Genomic DNA, 17,393 nt, shown 5'->3' with positions numbered 1-17,393 from the left:
GGCAGGTGCTTCTTTGGGGCGACGCGGCGGGCGGAGCCGGAAGGGGTGGGTGGGGGCGGGGCCCATCTTGCGCATGCGCCCTGAGCGCGGCCTGCCGTGTGAGGCGGAAGCGGAAGAGCAGGTCTCCAGGGGAGCGATGGCAGCCGGGGGTCTGAGCCGCTCCGAGCGCAAAGCGGCGGAGCGGGTCCGGAGGTTGCGGGAGGAGCAGCAGAGGGAGCGCCTCCGCCAGGTACGCCGCCGCCGCTCCCCGGCCCGGCCATGCCCGGCCCGCGCCGCCGCTCACCGTCCGCCTGCCCGCAGGTGTCGCGCATCCTGAGGAAGGCGGCGGCGGAGCGCAGCGCCGAGGAGGGCCGGCTGCTGGCCGAGAGCGCGGACCTGGTAACGGAGCTGCAGGGCCGGAGCCGGCGGCGCGAGGGCCTGAAGCGGCGGCAGGAGGAGGCGAGTTCCGCGTGCGGCGCGCGGGCGCCCCCGGTTTCGGGAGCAGCTGGGGCGACGGGCGGTCCCGGGTGGGGCGGCCCGGGGCGGTGACCACCCTGGCGTCTTGGCAGGTGTGCGACGACCCGGAGGAGCTGCGGGGGAAGGTCCGGGAGCTGGCCAGCGCCGTCCGGAACGCCAAATACTTGGTCGTCTACACAGGCGCGGGAATCAGCACGGTAGGGAGGGAGGCGGAGGCGTACCCCAGGACGGAGTATGAGCTCCAGTAATCGCGAAAAACTCGCCTTTAAAGCAGCTCTAAGGTTTTTTCTCTTAAAGAAACGAAATGACCAAAACTTACCTAAGGTAAACGCTTTTTAAACGCTTGGCCTCTGTGTTACAGCCAGTTAAAAAAAACAAGGAGTAGAGATACGAATGGGGTGTAGTAGCCGACTGCTCGCAGGCACCCCCAGGTTATGTGGACAGAGCTAAGCCCAAAGTTGTGATTTTCCACTCTGTTCTGTCCATGTCGAGGGAAGATAAGTAGAAAGTGACACAGTAAGAGCCAGAATACACCAGGTGAAGGAGAGAATTGCATTGTGTTTTGAGAAGTTTCACTGACAAGTTATCCTGGGCTGTGGGACATCACTAGCTTTGAAAGTGTAGCTGGCACCTCGTCCATCTAATTTGATGGGTGTGTGTGGGGTGTTGGGCACGCGTCGGCCTAGCAGATCTGAACCCAGGTGATTTCTGTTCTCAGGAAGCTTTTAGGTGACAAGGATCAGGCATGTGAACAAATAACCATACTGTAAAGCTGGCTGTGCTGGGTCGCTAGAGCAAACTCAGACACACACTCTGCGCTCTTGGAGTTGGGAAACCCACCTGCGTTGGCTTTTTGTGGGAGGTGGCCTTGATTGGGCCTTGAAGGATGGGTGAGATTTACAGAAGGTTGGAATGAGGCACTCCAAGCAAAGAACAGCAGAGGCTCAGCAGCAAGAATGCAAAAAGGGAGTTCACTACTGACTCAAATACCCGGAGCCCTGGGGTTTAGTCTCCTCCCTCCACAAGTCACATGTAAAAGTCCAGTCATGCTGGGCGCGGTGGCTCATGCCTATAATCCTAGCACTTTGGGAGGCCGAGGTGGGCGGATCATGAGGTCAGTAGTTCAAGAACAACCTGGCCAACACGGTGAAACCCTGTCTCTACTAAAAATACAAAAATTAGTCGGGCATGGTGGCGGGCACCTGCAATCCCAGCTACTCGAGAGGCTGAGGCAGGAGAATCACTTGAAACTGGAAGGCGGAGGTTGCAGTGAGCCGAGATCATGCCACTGCATTCCAGCCTGGGCGAAAGAGCTAAACTCCGTCTCTCAAAAAAAAAAAAAAAAAAAAAAGTCCAGTCATGTAATTATGTAACAGTCACGTGACCTGTTATGGAACTTCCAATGGCAACTAAAAGCACATGCAGCTAGTGGATTTCATCGGAGTGTTTGAGGTTCCCGTCTTGAATGTGACTGTCGGAACTACTGTCCGGGGGGGTGGTGCATTTTTCTGAGTTTAAGCAGGAGTCGGGAGTCCCCAAAAGGGAACACAAGACACCTTGATCCTGGCATATCTTGTGTGCCCTCTGTGGGCCTCAGTTTGTTTCACAGGATTGAAAACCTGGGAAGTTAGATGCTCATCTCATCTGAAGAAGTTGTTCTGCCTTTGTTAAGGTGGAGCGGGAATAGTCAGCACTGGGACATGAGAATGGACAGTCGCCTGGACCCACCTAGGGATTCACCATTTGCTAAATGTGTGAGCTGTGGGCTCGGCCCTGGGGGCACTTTAGGAACATGACTAGTCTTCCCCTGCAGTGTGGAGGACACATGTGCCACAGAGCCCAGCTTTGTGCTCGGTGCCAGAGAGGCTTCCGGAGGCAGGCAGGGCTGCGTGCAGCCTGGAAGGATGAGCCAGGCCAGGCGGGAAACGGAAGTCCAGGTAGAAGGGAGGAGCCGAATTGGGGTACACTCCATATGGGCTCAGGCAGGTCAGCCTGTGGAATGAATAGAGGCCAACATGCAGGCCAGCCCGGAATGCGGCAGGAGTGACAGTGGCTTTCCGTTTCTGGGAATTCTGCCAGTACCTACAGTGGTGCCTTTTGACTTGGCTTACCTTTTTTCTCGACATGCAGGCAGCGTCTATCCCAGACTACCGGGGCCCTAATGGAGTGTGGACACTGCTTCAGAAAGGGAGAAGCGTTAGGTAAGCGGGCCAGGCATGGCCTCCCACATAGGCTGGGCAGCGGCAGCACGGGCCTGAGCTCCAGCTCTCCTCACCTTGCCTTCCTTTCTGCCTGGCAGTGCTGCCGACCTGAGCGAGGCCGAGCCAACCCTCACCCACATGAGCATCACCCGTCTGCATGAGCAGAAGCTGGTAAGAGCCCTGGGTGGCTGGTACACTTGCCAGGGACCAGGCAGAGCACCTTGGTGCCCAGTGGGCAACTAACTGCACCCGCCCTCTGTCTGCCAGTTGACTCCCATGATGAGCACCCACCAAGCGGGTTAGGCCGCGGGTTTGATCCTCCTGTGCTTGACTCTCCAGGACAGAAGGGGAGCTCCCCCTCTGAACCATCCCATCCGCAGCCAGCCTCAGCCTCAGAGCTGCTGGTGGCCTTTCCCCTTTGTGATTCCCTTGCATTTTTCTGTGGACCTCAGAAGCCATCCTAGTCACAGGGGAGGCTTATAGGACATCTCTGGGGACCTTCTGCTGAACACCCTCAACCAATGGGGTGTAGTGGTTGATCTGCCTAGGTCCCCAGGGACCTGAAATGTCATGACCCAAGAGAGCATGGATCTGGGGCAGAGTGGCCCTTGCCAAACCCCGAGCCACTTCCCAACCTTGCCGGGACGGTGCAACCTCTTGCCCTCCCAGCCACTCCAGGTGCATCAGGGCTGGAGGAAGGACAGCCCCTCCCCACCACAGGCCCTCTTGACTCCTGGTGGTTGGACCTGTTGTGTGTTTTACTTTCTAAGGCTCTCTGGGGGGACGGAGCTGCCCCTGGTTTTGGGAGCCATCGGCGGGGCTCAGAACAGCCTCGCTGTGGCCGGGTACTGACCTCCCCACCACCACTGGCAGCCATCCCTCCCCTTGCCACCCGTTCTGCCTTCCAGGTGCAGCATGTGGTGTCTCAGAACTGTGACGGGCTCCACCTGAGGAGTGGGCTGCCGCGCACGGCCATCTCCGAGCTCCACGGGAACATGTACATTGAAGTGAGCAGTCCTGCAGGGACCCAGGGTCTCCATGGGCAGGCGGGTCCCACTCACTGTGCCCTCTTGCCTCTAGGTCTGTACCTCCTGCGTTCCCAACAGGGAGTACGTGCGGGTGTTCGATGTGACGGAGCGCACTGCCCTCCACAGACACCAGACAGGCCGGACCTGCCACAAGTGTGGGACCCAGCTGCGGGACACCATTGTGCACTTTGGGGAGAGGGGGACGTTGGGGCAGCCTTTGAACTGGGAAGCGGCGACCGAGGCTGCCAGCAGAGCAGACACCATCCTGTGTCTAGGGTCCAGCCTGAAGGTACGTGCCGATGACACAATGAGTGAACCGAGCCCCTGCCCGCCCGAGGGTGTCCAGCTCTGCGGCCCAGCACTGTACAGACTTGTCCCTTGTGTGTGTGCGGTGTCTGTCTGTCTGCTTCCACAGGTTCTAAAGAAGTACCCACGCCTCTGGTGCATGACCAAGCCCCCTAGCCGGCGGCCGAAGCTTTACATCGTGAACCTGCAGGTAACTCGGGTGCTGAGAGCCACGTCCTTAGATCTGGGTCTTAGAACGCACAGCCAGAGACACCCCACACCCATGCACCAGGGCGGTCTGATAGGGCCCCCGTGGGTGCTCAGGGAGCACCGACTGAGCCCGTAGGGGCCAAGGCTGACAGGCCACCGGGAAGGGTTGGGCTGCTGTTACTCTCACTCGGCTTTCCCTGTCCTCAGTGGACCCCGAAGGATGACTGGGCTGCCCTGAAGCTACATGGGAAGTGTGATGACGTCATGCGGCTCCTCATGGCCGAGCTGGGCTTGGAGATCCCCGCCTATAGCAGGTGAGTGAGCCGCTGCAGCAGCCTGCTTCCCCGCACCTCTGTGTGCTGGGCCTTGTCTGTCTTCTCTCGTGAGCTGAGTGTGGAGGAAGCTCTGAGGTGTTTGCAGTGGTGCCTGAGGCATGACTGAAGCGTGGTGGTCTCCAGAGGGCCTGACCTCGGTGGTTGGCGGAGACCCTGCGTGTGCCACTCCTGCCCTGGCTGATGTGGCACACACAATCCCCGCGGGGAGAGGGATTCTGCCCGCGTGCTCCTGCTCCAGGCCTCCCCGTGGAGCTCTCCGAGATGCCTGGTGGGAAGCATCTGGAGGGGACGAGCACTCGGCAGCTCTGGTCAGACAGAATCTGTGTGCTTGGTTTTGGGAGTTGGCGTACTTTGGGAAAGCTTAAACAAACTGTGCCTTAATACAGAATTTGTGATAATTTAGACTTGGTGTATGTATTGAGTAAAAAGTTTACACTCTCTTTCTCTGTGAATTTTCAGGGTCTTATAGGGGAAATCAATAACTTCTTTTAATCAAAGGGTTCAAGAAATTAAGGATCCCTTCACCTTCTGGGCCTGGCACTTCTTGTATGTTATGTGTGTGGTGTTCTGTGATGTGGGCTATCGTGTACTGTATTTTTTTTTTACATTAACTTAGCTCATTTTCCTTATCAGTGCGTATCTGTATCTTAAGTTATGATCTGTGGTTCTGCATCTCCGTCAGACACATGCTTTCTTCACGGGGTCGTCTGTAGGCCACGCCTCCCTAGTCAGCTGGGAAGGGGGAGAGGGTCTGGTCCACCTGCCCCAGCGGTACAAGTGGAAGGTGGGGCCCAGAGTTGCTAGTGACTCATCCCTGGAGACGGAGGCAGCCCTGGGGCCACTGCTGCCCCACCCTGTGTGTGCACGCCGCTCAGTGGTGGACAAGGACACGGAGTTTTGAGGAGACCGAGCTAGTGTGGGTGCCGACCTTTGAGTCACCACCTAAGAGGTGACCTCTCCCACATCCGTTCTGCAGCTTGGTAACAATGAAGCTGCCGCCAACCAGAGCCCCGCCGCAGTTGACACGGGAGGGAAGGGGATGGGAAGGCAGGGACCGCAGACAGCTTTCCCGAGCTGGGGCAGGTGTGACTGCGAGAGGCTCCCAGGCCCGCCTGATGCCGCTTTCCCTTTTTGGCAGGTGGCAGGATCCCATTTTCTCACTGGCGACTCCCCTGCGTGCTGGTGAAGAAGGCAGCCACAGTCGGAAGTCGCTGTGCAGAAGCAGAGAGGAGGCCCCGCCTGGGGACCGGGGTGCACCGCTTAGCTCGGCCCCCATCCTAGGGGGCTGGTTTGGCAGGGGCTGCACAAAACGCACAAAAAGGAAGAAAGTGACGTAATCACGTGCTCGATGAAGAACAGTTGGCACTTTGCAGATGGCCAGTGTCACGGTGAAGGCTGGGTTGCCCCCACGGGTCTAGGGAGAACGAACTCTTTGGGGATGACATTTTCACCGTGACATTTTTAGCCATTTGTCCTTGAGGAAGCCCCTTGCACTGCTGCGGTTGTACCCTGATACGGCCTGGCCATCGAGGACACCTGCCCATCCGGCCTCTGTGTCAAGAGGTGGCAGCCGCACCTTTCTGTGAGAACGGAACTCGGGTTATTTCAGCCCCGGCCTGCAGAGTGGAAGCGCCCAGCGGCCTTTCCTCGCTCACCAGGCCAGTCTCAGGGCCTCACCGTATTTCTACTACTACTTAATGAAAAAGTGTGAACTTTATAGAATCCTCTCTGTACTGGATGTGCGGCAGAGGGGTGGCTCCGAGCCTCGGCTCTATGCAGACCTTTTTATTTCTATTAAACGTTTCTGCACTGGCTTCCGGTGTCCCCGAGTGGTCGGCGCGGGCTCCCCGGGCTCAGGTCTGCCGCCTGGCAGCTCGGTCGTGGCTTAAAACTCCCTTGGTTGGACAGGGGACAACTGTAGATTATTGTGCCAAAAAATAAGAAAAAAAACTCCCCTGGTTGGGACAGCGCCCCGTGGAGGTTCCCGGAGGTGGCGGCGGTGGGACGGTCCCCACGCCGCACTGCCCCGCCAGCCGAGCGCCAGGTGTGGGCGGTGCGGAGAGGCCAGGTGTGGGTCGGGGGGCGGGGCTCGGAAAGCGCGGCACACGCCATTGGCTGTGCGTTTGGAGGGGGCGGGACTCTGTCAGGGGCTCACGCCATTGGCCGTGCGCGGAGGTGCGGTGGGGCGCGGCCTTCGGGGGGTGGGGCTCGGGGCGGAGGGCGGGAGGCGGGGCGGGGGAGGCGGGGGCGGGGCTCGGGCCGAGCGGCGCACGCCATTGGCCGTGCGCAGCGGGTGAGGCCCGCGTGACGGCCGCTGAGCGTGCGCCTGGCGGGGCGGGCGGCGGCGCTCGGAGTCGCCGGGAGCTGCCAGGCTGTCCGCGCCGCCGCTGCGGGGCCATGATCCGGAACGGGCGCGGGGCTGCAGGCGGCGCAGAGCAGCCGGGCCCGGGGGGCAGGCGCGCCGTGAGGGTGTGGTGCGATGGCTGGTGAGCGCGGGGCCGGGGCGGGCCGCGGGGGCGCCGGGGCCGGCTTCCTTCCGGGGCGCCGCGCCAGCCGTTGCCCGGGGACCGGGCCCGCGTTCTGGGTGGCGTCCTCGTCCGGCATGGGCCGGGGCTGGCAGGCTGCGGGGCTCGCCTGCCGGGAGGGTCGGGCTGCAGAGGCTCCGCGCCCTGCCGTGGGCGACCCCGTCTACCTCTGGCGGAGGCCCCGCCCGGTCACGCCGACCTCTCCGGTGCAGCCACCGCGCTGAGATCTGGAGCCACGGCCTCCCTGCTTCTCCGTAACCACCAGCAACCAGCTTGCCCGGCTCCGGTCCAGGGGTTCCCCTGGCCTCCGGGCGAGCGTCCCTGTAGGTGGGCATCGGGTGCGACCTGCCTGTCCGGGACCCGCGGTGAAGCCCGCGGGCTCCCGGGTCCTCCTCCGCGGGGCTAGAATGCGATCGGTCTTCCCTGGCCAGTCAGAGGGCATTGTTTTAAGAAAAGTTTCGGGTTGTCAACAAGTGAAAGGAAGACGACCGTTACTGATAATTTGCTACCTCTGACCCTTTCACGTGCCTGCCGGATGGAATCCAGGAAGCAAGCGCCTCTATCTGATTAGCCCTTCCCAGGAGAGCAAGCAGGGCCTTGTCTTCTGTGTCCGAGTCACCTCTGGGAAAAGGAATGTGGCTTTGTGTCAGTGGACTTTGACCTTGCCCTGACCAGGCCCCAGCCCCATTCCAGACTGTGCTCCCCTGGCCCAGCCTCTGCCCCCTCCTCCCCTCCAGCCTGTCCAGTGGGTACATGGGCCCGCCAGATTTTACCCAGCATGTCTGCCGGGCTCCGCGCACTGTGGCAGGGGTGCTGGGAGGAAGCAGTGGTGTGCAGTGGAGCAACTCTGTGCACTGTGTGGGCTGCCAGGGTCACACCTCTCCCTGGAGAGGCAGGGACAGCTTTGTCCACTTGAGGGGATGGGCCGCTGCTGTAAAGAAGTGGCGAAGAAGCCAGGGCAGCGAGGCCCAGTTGGTGGCAGGGCTGTGTAGCTTTGGGCTTGAGAGTTCACGTGTTAGCAGACCTAGATTTGTGAATGAAAACTCTCGAGCCAGGTGGCAAGGCAGTGGCTGTTCACCCTTAGCGTTAAGCCTGCTGAGCTTGAGGCCGTAAGGGAGGAGAGACAGGATTTTCAGGGCCAGTGATTCCCAGGGTTTTATTTTGTGGTTGGATTTGTTTTGGGTTAGCCCCAGGGACTGTTTGCTTGTCTCAAGGTAGTCTAGGATCCAACCCTACCCCAAGAGTTAACATCGGCTTATTTTAAAGTGACTGCCCAGGGCAGTTGATATTTGGTGAGGGGATAGGACACGTGGCCCTGCAGCTTTCAGTGGGCTCCAGTCTGTCCTGCACCCACCAGTCCTCTAGACCCAGCCAGGCCTTGACATCTCTGCCCCTGCCACCCTTTCTAGATCTGGCACAGGGGTCCCACCGTCAGGCCCAGGAGCCAGTGGGGTGGAGAGCTGAGCACCTACATCCTCCGAATCCCAGTCCCAGGGCTCCCAGCAGCAGCTTCTCAGAGCGCTTCCTAAGGAGTCCTCAGAGGAGCAAAGCTCTGCCCCTAACCCACAGGGACACCTGGTCCCCACCCTTGGCACAGGGACCACCCACTCTCTCTGTCTCCACAGCTATGACATGGTGCATTACGGCCACTCCAACCAGCTGCGCCAGGCACGGGCCATGGGTGACTACCTCATCGTAGGCGTGCACACCGATGGTAAGCACAGATGGCCTCGCCCACCCGCGGCCCCCCAGCCCTCCTGTGGGTTGCGACTGTTGACTGAAAGCCTGCAGGCCTGGGGCCACCTTGCCAGGGCACAGCTGTAGGGGAGGGCACTGTAGGCTCACCCAGCCCAGCCCCAGCTGAGGATGGCCTAATGCCTTTCCCATCTTGCATTTCCTGTCCCAGCTAAAGAGAAGGGGCACCTGCTCCCCACCACTGCCAGCGAGGCTCCCAAGCCTTCAGGGGCTGAGCACCTGCTCGTCAGAAGGAATCTCTGCCTTTGCCTGAGACCCTCGCAGGGAAGAGAGCCACCCAGTTGGCCAGCACTAGTGGGCTAAGGGCCAGGGTAGAGAGACAGCCTGCCCCCACCGGCCCTCTTGTGTGGCTACAGCTGGGTGCTGGGAAGGGGCCTCCTACTGGAGGGGCCGGGTGGGCTGGGGTCCCCAGTCTCCCCGTTGTCCTTTTCCTAGAGGAGATCGCCAAGCACAAGGGGCCCCCGGTGTTCACTCAGGAGGAGAGATACAAGATGGTGCAGGCCATCAAATGGGTGGACGAGGTGGTGCCAGCGGCTCCCTACGTCACTACACTAGAGACCCTGGACAAATACAACTGTGACTTCTGTGTTCACGGCAGTGAGTGGCGGGGCTGGGACCTGGGGGCCTGGGGACATCAGGTGGCTCAGGATCAGATCTGCTGGTGGGACATCCGGGAACAGGGGGCCTCCGCCCTTTGAGGATCTGAGACATTTCCGGGCCCCCACCTAGAAATGGGCACGCGGACACTAGGGCAGGCCAGGGGCCGAGAGGGTCCTGGGCTCTGAAGGTTCTGGTGGCTTTGGGTTAAGGATCCTTGTCCTTGTGTGTCACTGCTTAGATGACATCACCCTGACTGTAGATGGCCGGGACACCTATGAGGAAGTAAAGCAGGCTGGGAGGTACAGGTGAGTCTCCACCGCGGGCCTGGCCATCCAGGGAGCTGGACACGGGGCTCCCTCCTGGCTCGTGCTTTGCTATTTACCGGGAGCCCGTGAGGGGAGCGTCCAGGCCCTGGGCCATGTTCCTCACGCCCAGGACTGGGAACTCGAGGGATGGAGGTGCCATTGTGGGGTGGCCTGGAGGCCCTTGCCATTTGGTGCTGCAGACCCATGGCCCCAGGGCTCCAAAGGCACAGCTTTGTGAGGTGGCAGCTGTTGAGCTCGGGGGACGTGGCTGGCACTGCTGGGGAGCTGGCACTATATCTGAATTACCAGACGTCAGGGACATGAGGCCAGTGGCTCCCGCATGAGATGCTGCAGCTGAGAATTCACTCAGCTGCAGATGCTCAGCGGGCAGGACGTGGGTGTGAGGGAGGCAGGAAGCAGAGCTGCTACCCCAGTGCCCATCCTCTCCCTGGCATTGCACACCTGGGCCCCAGCAAGGGTCCTTTTCTGTGCTCCTGCCACTCCCTTCAGTCAATAAAAGCGTGGAGGCCTTCCCCATGTTCCCAACCCAGGTTTTCTGTTATGGCCTTGCACAGGAAGGGGACCCTCAGTCTTTGGGGCAGCCGTGGGTTCTGCCACAGCAGGGCTGCTAGTGTCCCTAGTGGTGGTAGCAGGAGGCAGAGCCTTGCGAGTGTCCCAGGATGAGACCCCACTCCCACTGTGTCCCCCAGAGAATGCAAGCGCACGCAAGGGGTGTCCACCACAGACCTCGTGGGCCGCATGCTGCTGGTAACCAAAGCCCATCACAGCAGCCAGGTGAGTCGGCGGCGGAATCCCCGAGGCCCCTGGGTCGAGGTCTCCAGGGGAAAGGAGGGGCACCTCCCTGCCCTCTCAGGGTCCTCCTGCCCACTGCTCCCCATCCCCAGCCGGTTCTGGGGTGGCCACGCCGGGAGGGCAGGCCCCTCAGCCCTGCTCTGACCTTCTGTGCAGGAGATGTCCTCTGAGTACCGGGAGTATGCAGACAGTTTTGGCAAGGTGAGTGCGGCTGTGCAGGGAGAGCTGAGCACGCAGCTGCAGGGGGCTCCCCCGGCCACCTGTCCCAGCCATCCCTTGGGGAAAGGCCAGCCCAGAGCCTCACCCTCCTCCCTCTGTCCCTGGCACTGACCAGGCACTGACTGCCAGGTTTGGCTCACTGGTGGATGCTGGGAGGGAGGGCAGGCGGGTGGTGGCACCGGCTGGCCGGTCACGGCAGCCACTGCTTGGAGGAGCAAGGATTTGCCTGTGGACAGGTGGCCTCTAACCAAGTGGCCTGGCCCTCTCTCCCATTGTAGCCCCCTCACCCGATACCCGCCGGGGACATACTTTCCTCAGAAGGCTGCTCCCAGGTGACCAGACAGTGGTCTCAGGGTACCAGGTCCCTCCCAAGGGCTGTGTGCACCTGCCACAGGGCTCCTTGCCTCCTCCTGGTGGTCGCTTGCTGGGCTGAAGTGGTGTCTGCTGCGGTGCCTGCTGTGGTTGTGGGGTGGCGCCACAGTCCCACCTGCCACCTGGCCTGGCAGTGTGTCCCCTGCCCGAGATGACTGGCTGGAAATGGGATTGCTGGCAGGTGACAGCTGAGGGTTTGGTGACCTGGTGAGGGCAGCACCTGGGAGGCCTCCCCCGCCAACCTGCTCCCTCTCTTGGCTTGCAGTGCCCTGGTGGGCGGAACCCCTGGACCGGGGTATCCCAGTTCCTGCAGACATCTCAGAAGATCATCCAGTTTGCTTCTGGGAAGGAGCCCCAGCCAGGGGAGACAGTCATCTATGTGGCTGGTGCCTTCGACCTGTTCCGTATCCTCTGGGCCTCTGCTGCTCCCCTACATGTGCCACATGGGGTGGGACCCGGGGGCCTCACTTGACTCCTTGGGGCCCCCAGACTGGGCTGGCTGGTTTGCAGGGGAGCAGCTGTCAGCAGGGAGGATGGCGGGGAGGCCCTTGGGCATGAGCTGTCAGGGAGCTGCTCCCTGTCATCCCCATCCCGACTGCTTCTTAACCTGGGTGCAGACATCGGGCATGTGGACTTCCTGGAGAAGGTGCACAGGCTGGCAGAGAGGCCCTACATCATCGCGGGCTTACACTTTGACCAGGTCACTGCCTTCTTGCTCCCTGGGCCCCTGGGCAGCTGATGGGCCCTCGAGGGGCCCTAAGCGTTGCTGTTAGGTGCAGGTGGTCTCTGGGAAGGGGCCCCAGGTGAAGTCACAGGAGACCCTGGGGGGTGATCGTAGGCTTCTGGGGTCCAGGGCTGTCCTGTCTGGGGCATCCCCACAAGGGCGAGCAACCTCCCCGACTTCTTCCCATGAGGGACAGCCGGGAGGGGCACACCCTGTCCCCCCAAAAAGTCTCCGGGCTGAGCTAGCCGCACTCTGGCCGCAGGAGGTCAATCACTACAAGGGGAAGAACTACCCCATCATGAATCTGCATGAACGGACTCTGAGCGTGCTGGCCTGCCGGGTGAGTGGGGGCCAGGAGCCAGCCCAAGGATGGGGAGACATTCCCACAACATCCCCCCTACTAAGGGCCTCCCTGAGCCAGGGCAGGGGGGCTTGGGTCACTGGCAGAGCTGCACCCAGCACCCCGAGTTCTGTGGCACCTGCCCATACCTGTTTGTTGAGGCATGAGGAGGGGTGGTCAGGTCTCCAGATGCTGTTCCTTCTTGTCTCATGGAGGAGCCCCAGGGGTCCCCAGCCTGCCCAGCCCATCCCTGCTACTCACTGGCAGCCCCGCCCCATGTCTGAGCCGTCTCTCACCACCCTGTGGCCCTGGCTTACCAGTAGCAGGGACCGAGCAAGTCTTTCTGCCCCCACTGTCCCCACAGTACGTGTCAGAAGTGGTGATTGGAGCCCCGTACGCGGTCACAGCAGAGCTCCTAAGTCACTTCAAGGTGAGGCTCCGCATGGGCTCACCTCGTTCCCTCTGTTCACCTCTGTTCCTGCATGGGCTGGGAATGCAGGCTGGCTGTGGGCTCCTAGGCGGGGCCCAGGAGGTACCTGGGCTGAGGAAAGGGCAGGGTCAGCTCTCCCAACCCCCGGGGCCTGTGCTGGGCTGTGGGTGGCGACGGCCGCTGCCTCCCCGGGGAGGGCTCCTGACCCCACTCCTTCTCCAGGTGGACCTGGTGTGTCACGGCAAGACAGAAATTATCCCTGACAGGGATGGCTCCGACCCATACCAGGTGGGTCATGCTGGCCCTTGCTGGGCACAGGGGTTGCCATTGGCACCTCCCAGCCATTTAATGACTCACTGTGCCTGCCTGGGAAACGGGCATGGTGGCGCAGCTGCTCCGACTGCACCACTCCCATGGGACCCTGGGCGCTGGTCTCCCTCTGGGGCAGGGCATCAGATGGGTCTTGGGGAGGTCAGCAGGGACCTTCATCCCGCTCCTCCTCTCTGGACCCCCAGGAGCCCAAGAGAAGGGGCATCTTCCGTCAGATTGACAGTGGCAGCAACCTCACCACAGACCTCATCGTCCAGCGGATCATCACCAACAGGTGCAGTTGGGTGGGGGCACCTCGGAGCCGCCTCATGGGCGCTCTCCGCTAGACTTACCGTGCCCTCCCCCTCGGAGCCGCCTCATGGGCGCTCTCTGCTAGACTTACCCTGCCCTCTCAGGTTGGAGTATGAGGCGCGAAACCAGAAGAAGGAAGCCAAGGAGCTGGCCTTCCTGGAGGCTGCCAGGCAGCAGGCGGCACAGCCCCTGGGGGAGCGCGATGGTGACTTCTAACCTGGCAGAGGCCCTGGCCGGCCCTCCCCCTGCTCTGCTTCTGCGCCTTCTGCGTTTGGACATAGGACTCTGCAGGGCCGCCCTCTCTAACTGGCCTGGCTCTGGAAGGGCTGGTGAGGACTCTGCCTCCTTGCCTGCCTACAAGGTGCCTGGTTTGCAGCAGGCTCTCCGCTCTTTCCAGCAAAGCTGCTCAGAGAGGGTGTCCAGCACAGTGGAGAGGCCGGAAGTGAGACGGGCAGACGGCACCTGCAGCCTGAAACGCACCGCTCCTGCGTGCGCCCCCACCTGGTCCCCGGATGCCCCCACCACCTGGACAGAGGCCACACTGACTGCCCACCCAGCTGTGGCGGGAGGTGCAGAGCAGAGGGCTTTAGGGAGCAGTGACTGCGGTCACCCCTTTAGTTCTCTGGGTGTAGACCACACCACCTCCCACTGGGCACCCCCCAACACGGTGTCCTGCCACCCAGCGCCTGGCTCCAGGAAAACACGCTTGCCTTCCTTCCCGGCAGCTTCGCCACTCTCCTTATGGACTCTGTTCTGTTTGTACATGGCTGACGGAAATCTCTTTGGTACAACCGAATAAAGCCTGGTGGCAGTGCTGCGCGGGGCTCCCAGCCCTGCTGGGAAGGACCAGGGAACCACTCAGCAAGGAGACCCTCTTGGCCCTGCCCCCACCATGCACCCAGCAGCCGGGAGTGCAGCGGGCAGCCTGGCAGTGAGTGAAACCCAGGCCTCCAGCCCTCCAAAGCCTGGGGCCACCCCCTGTAGCAGGCGATGCTAGAATAAGGAGGAGAGCCAGAGCTGAGGCTCCTTGCCCCTTGGCCCCTCCAGGGGCCATGGGATCTCTGTCTCCCACACCCCTGTCACGGCCCGCCTGGAGCAGCCCAGAGGCCGAAGAGGTTCTTACTGCAGCCTCCGGGAGGTGTCTAGGGAGGCCATAGATTGCCTGGTCTCGCCGCATTCAAAATGAGGCTTATGATCAGTACTTTTTTCAGCCCCACATTCCTCTCCAGAATGGCCTCTGCCCTACAGCACCTGGCCCATGTGGCACCCCATGGGCCTGTCCTCTGCTGTTGTGAGGTCGACCTCACGACCCAGCACAGGAGCTGGAGGCGAGGTGCACGCGAGGCTCTCCACAGCCCAGGAAGGCAGCCTGTCACCCTGCTCTCCGAGCCAGGGGCCAAGGTGTGGGGGGCACAGGCCATCCTCATCCTGCCAGGCCCCCGCTTTCAGGAGTGGGGTGGTGCCAATGCTCCCACTCAGAACCCTGGACTGCGGGGTCCCCTGAGCAGAGGGACCAGCCAGTTCCCCATAGACAGATTGGTGCTGGACAGGGGCTGCCTGGGCCCCAGGCTTGGGGAGGGTAGAAAGGCCCTGCAGTGCTGCTGCCTGGGCCCGGAGGTGGGCCTGGCCCCGTAGCAGCATTGGAGGCCAGAGCCCAAGCCAGTTCCGGAGTCACACCCAACGGCGGAGGGAGAACCTACCCATCTCCCACCTTCAGCTCTGGGGAGGCATGCTCTGGGCCTCTGGAGCCAGGGCTCAGGCCCCCAACTCTCCTCCTTGCCCCTGCACCCTCGGACTTGGCCTGGCCAGAAGGGATGGGGGCAAGAGGAAGGCAGCCAGGGGCTCCAGCCCATGCCCTCACAGATTTGGCTCTCGAGTTGGGGAGCGAAGGGCTGGGGGAGGACACTGGGAACCGGGCCAGCCGTGGCCCTGCACTTCCCCCAGGGAGCACCAAGGCTAGGCGCGGCTTCACCGCGGGGCTGGGTCGTGGCCAGCTTCGCCCCTGGGTCTGAAGACCTCTGGGCGGCCCAGGCCAACCTTGCCCTGCCGCCGCACACTCGGCTGCCTTCTCATACCCAGGCTTGGGGATTTCCAGGTCCCGTTCCCCTCGTGGCCTGGCTGCCAGTCCTCCAGCACCCCTCACTCCGAGGCCGCCTCATTTATTTATTCGTTTGCCATTAACTGCGGGGTGAGCGGAGTAGGGGAGACCTGGGGCGCCATCCCGCGCCGGAGGGGCCTGGGGTCACCGAGTGGGACGGTGGGGGCGGGGGGCCCCCAGCGGTGCCAGGAGAGGTCCGGGCTCAGGCGGCGAGGCAGTCGGCTGCGCGCAGGGACAGGAAGACGTTCGCCTTGCACTGGTAGGTCCCGCGGCCGTCGGGGAGCCGCTCGCACCTCTGCAGGTTTGGGGCGACGTCCTGGACGCACACAGCCTGGGGGGCAGGCAAGCAAAGGCTGAGGGGCCGCCGCACCCCCACCCACGTCCTGCCGCCGCCCCCCATCAGTCCCCGGCACGCCGGACTCACGAGGCTCCGCAGCCTGGGGTGCAGTTGCAGCTCCGGGGAGGCGCCGGCCCCGCCCGGGGGTTCCGCCCCTCTGTAGGGCTGGGAGCGCCGCGCGTACGGGGACCTGCGGAGGCCGGACAGCAGCCCCGCGGCGCGGCCCACCGAGTAGGAGCTGTGCCCCGCCGCTGGCTTGTACCACGCGAGGCCAGGCGGCGCCAGCAGCAGGCACAGCGCCAGGGCGGCGGCCGCCAGTGTCGCGGACCGGGCCATGGGGACGCCGGCTGACTGGTGGGCGGCGGCGTCCGGGCTCGGAGCAGCCACCGCCTGGGCCGCCTTATATCTGCGGCGAGGGCGGGCCGAGGCTGCGGAGGGCCGGGAGGGGCGGCGGGCGGGCTGGGGTGCAGCGGGCGCGCGCGGAGGAGCCGTCGCACCTCCGCATCCCAAAGGAACCAGCCGCGCGGGCGAGCGCTGGAGGCGCGCAAGGATCTGGCGCTTGGTGGGAGCCCAACGCCCCCTCAAGCTCCCCACCCATGCCGCTCGCGCCCTTCAGGCCCGGCTTGCGTGGGCCGCAGTGGCAGCAGGGGAGGGCCCACGGGCGCCCAGCCCTAGGAGTCGTCCCCCAGGCAATCCCCAGTACTCCTGATGCTGGAGAGCCAGCCACACTGCACAGTGCCCCGGGGGCGGTTTCTACCACCCTAAGGGGTATTCTTGGCTCCAGGCATCAGAGTCCATGTGGCTTGTGGGGCCCTCATTTCTTTCATGCCCACTGGGGAAGGTTCCACCAGCAGGGCTGTTACTGGCGGGGTCCTCTGGGAGGGGGGCAAGAAGGCCAGCCACACCAAGGCACTGGAGCTCCACGACTCCTGGCCTTCGATTGGAGGCCCCTCTCTGCCAGCTCTGCCCCTTGGGGGGCACCAGGCAGGACTGCCAGCCGCTCTCCTGGCAGGTGACATCAGCCTTCAAGCTCACTGTGCCCTCACCATTTCATGCTCCCCCAAGGTCCTGGTCATGTCTTCTCTTGGGTATCTTCCCAGGACAGGCACTGGCACTGGAGCCCTGGCACTTGTTTCTGGGTTCCATGCTTCCCAGGTGTGATGGTGAATGCTGAGTGTCAGCTTGACTGGATTGAAGGATGCAAAGTATTGTCACTGGGTGTGTCTGTGAGGGTGTTGCCAGAGGAGATTCCCATTTGAGTCAGTGGGCTGGGAGAGGCAGACCCACCCTCAATCCAGGTGGGCACCACCTAATCGGCTGCCAGCACAGCCAGGATACAAGCAGGCAGAGGAACGTGGAAAGACTAGACTGGCTGAATCTGGCCTCCATCTTTCTCCCATGCTGGATGCTTCCCGCCCTCGCACGTCGGCCTCCAGGTTCTTCAGCTTTTGGACTCTCGGACCTACACCAGTGGCTTGCCAGGGGCTCTGCAGCCTTTGGCCACAGGATGAAGGCTGCACTATCGGCTTCTCTACTTTTGTTTTGGGACTCAGACTGGCTTCCTTGCTCCTCACCTTGCACATGGCTTATTGTGGGACTTCACCTTGTGATCACGTGAGTCAATACTCCCAATAAACTCTTCATATATACTCTTCATATAGAGTCCTGTCTCTCTAGAGAACCCTGACACAGATTTCAGGTGAGGCCTGGTCTACTCCTCAGGTTGCTGTGAGGAAGGG

General features: G+C 62.2%; 3 protein-coding genes across 18 annotated transcripts, besides 8 other annotated features; 2 read left to right on the top strand and 1 right to left on the bottom strand.

The window, feature by feature from the left end:
• Positions 11-907: an enhancer, noted in NCBI's record as "H3K27ac-H3K4me1 hESC enhancer chr17:79875237-79876133 (GRCh37/hg19 assembly coordinates)". NCBI's record gives its function as "activates a minimal SCP1, AML or CMV promoter by ChIP-STARR-seq in naive H9 embryonic stem cells {active_cell/tissue: H9 hESC(naive)}" and the evidence as "EXISTENCE:reporter gene assay evidence [ECO:0000049][PMID:30033119]".
• Positions 23-492: a silencer, noted in NCBI's record as "silent region_9168". NCBI's record gives its function as "represses an Ori minimal core promoter by ATAC-STARR-seq in GM12878 lymphoblastoid cells {active_cell/tissue: GM12878}" and the evidence as "EXISTENCE:reporter gene assay evidence [ECO:0000049][PMID:35858748]".
• Positions 92-6,329, top strand: SIRT7 (sirtuin 7). Of its 6 annotated transcripts, NM_016538.3 has the most exons (10): positions 92-229; positions 301-438; positions 549-653; positions 2,587-2,657; positions 2,756-2,828; positions 3,566-3,664; positions 3,738-3,974; positions 4,101-4,181; positions 4,388-4,494; positions 5,654-6,329. In NM_016538.3, exons 1-10 carry the CDS (start codon positions 137-139, stop codon positions 5,850-5,852), a joined length of 1,203 nt encoding a protein of 400 aa, NP_057622.1. In that variant the 5' UTR covers positions 92-136; the 3' UTR covers positions 5,853-6,329. The 6 variants fall into 6 exon arrangements, with proteins under 6 accessions (NP_057622.1, XP_011521882.1, XP_047292187.1 ...); XM_011523580.2 differs by lacking the exon at positions 549-653; XM_047436231.1 differs by lacking the exon at positions 5,654-6,329 and having other exon boundaries at positions 3,812-3,974; positions 4,388-4,426.
• Positions 6,516-6,685: a silencer, noted in NCBI's record as "silent region_9167". NCBI's record gives its function as "represses an Ori minimal core promoter by ATAC-STARR-seq in GM12878 lymphoblastoid cells {active_cell/tissue: GM12878}" and the evidence as "EXISTENCE:reporter gene assay evidence [ECO:0000049][PMID:35858748]".
• Positions 6,716-7,005: a silencer, noted in NCBI's record as "silent region_9166". NCBI's record gives its function as "represses an Ori minimal core promoter by ATAC-STARR-seq in GM12878 lymphoblastoid cells {active_cell/tissue: GM12878}" and the evidence as "EXISTENCE:reporter gene assay evidence [ECO:0000049][PMID:35858748]".
• On the top strand, positions 6,869-17,310 carry PCYT2 (phosphate cytidylyltransferase 2, ethanolamine). Of its 11 annotated transcripts, none has more exons than NM_001256434.3 (14): positions 6,869-7,001; positions 8,666-8,754; positions 9,233-9,392; positions 9,634-9,700; positions 10,411-10,495; positions 10,670-10,714; positions 11,011-11,064; positions 11,370-11,508; positions 11,722-11,804; positions 12,091-12,168; positions 12,533-12,598; positions 12,821-12,886; positions 13,114-13,202; positions 13,324-17,310. In NM_001256434.3, exons 2-14 carry the CDS (start codon positions 8,752-8,754, stop codon positions 13,433-13,435), a joined length of 1,047 nt encoding a protein of 348 aa, NP_001243363.1. In that variant the 5' UTR covers positions 6,869-7,001; positions 8,666-8,751; the 3' UTR covers positions 13,436-17,310. The 11 variants fall into 11 exon arrangements, with proteins under 11 accessions (NP_001243363.1, NP_001171846.1, NP_002852.1 ...); NM_001184917.3 differs by having other exon boundaries at positions 9,231-9,392; XM_005256387.4 differs by lacking the exon at positions 6,869-7,001 and adding an exon at positions 7,093-7,363 and having other exon boundaries at positions 9,231-9,392.
• Positions 7,166-7,305: a silencer, noted in NCBI's record as "silent region_9165". NCBI's record gives its function as "represses an Ori minimal core promoter by ATAC-STARR-seq in GM12878 lymphoblastoid cells {active_cell/tissue: GM12878}" and the evidence as "EXISTENCE:reporter gene assay evidence [ECO:0000049][PMID:35858748]".
• On the bottom strand, positions 15,363-16,030 carry NPB (neuropeptide B). Its single transcript, NM_148896.5, has 2 exons — positions 15,742-16,030; positions 15,363-15,648 (listed from the first exon to the last, which is right to left on the bottom strand). The coding sequence occupies exons 1-2, from the start codon at positions 15,988-15,990 to the stop codon at positions 15,520-15,522; spliced, it is 378 nt and encodes a 125-aa protein (NP_683694.1). The 5' UTR covers positions 15,991-16,030; the 3' UTR covers positions 15,363-15,519.
• Positions 15,553-15,912: a silencer, noted in NCBI's record as "silent region_9164". NCBI's record gives its function as "represses an Ori minimal core promoter by ATAC-STARR-seq in GM12878 lymphoblastoid cells {active_cell/tissue: GM12878}" and the evidence as "EXISTENCE:reporter gene assay evidence [ECO:0000049][PMID:35858748]".
• Positions 16,003-16,102: a silencer, noted in NCBI's record as "silent region_9163". NCBI's record gives its function as "represses an Ori minimal core promoter by ATAC-STARR-seq in GM12878 lymphoblastoid cells {active_cell/tissue: GM12878}" and the evidence as "EXISTENCE:reporter gene assay evidence [ECO:0000049][PMID:35858748]".
• Positions 16,323-16,372: a silencer, noted in NCBI's record as "silent region_9162". NCBI's record gives its function as "represses an Ori minimal core promoter by ATAC-STARR-seq in GM12878 lymphoblastoid cells {active_cell/tissue: GM12878}" and the evidence as "EXISTENCE:reporter gene assay evidence [ECO:0000049][PMID:35858748]".
• Positions 17,311-17,393: the final 83 nt, after the last annotated feature.

This window comes from Homo sapiens, chromosome 17 (assembly GCF_000001405.40).
Source record: "Homo sapiens chromosome 17, GRCh38.p14 Primary Assembly".
Taxonomy (NCBI): Eukaryota; Metazoa; Chordata; class Mammalia; order Primates; family Hominidae; genus Homo; species Homo sapiens.
Note: the sequence above shows the minus strand (reverse complement) of the source record. Positions and strands in the feature narration are given on the sequence as shown.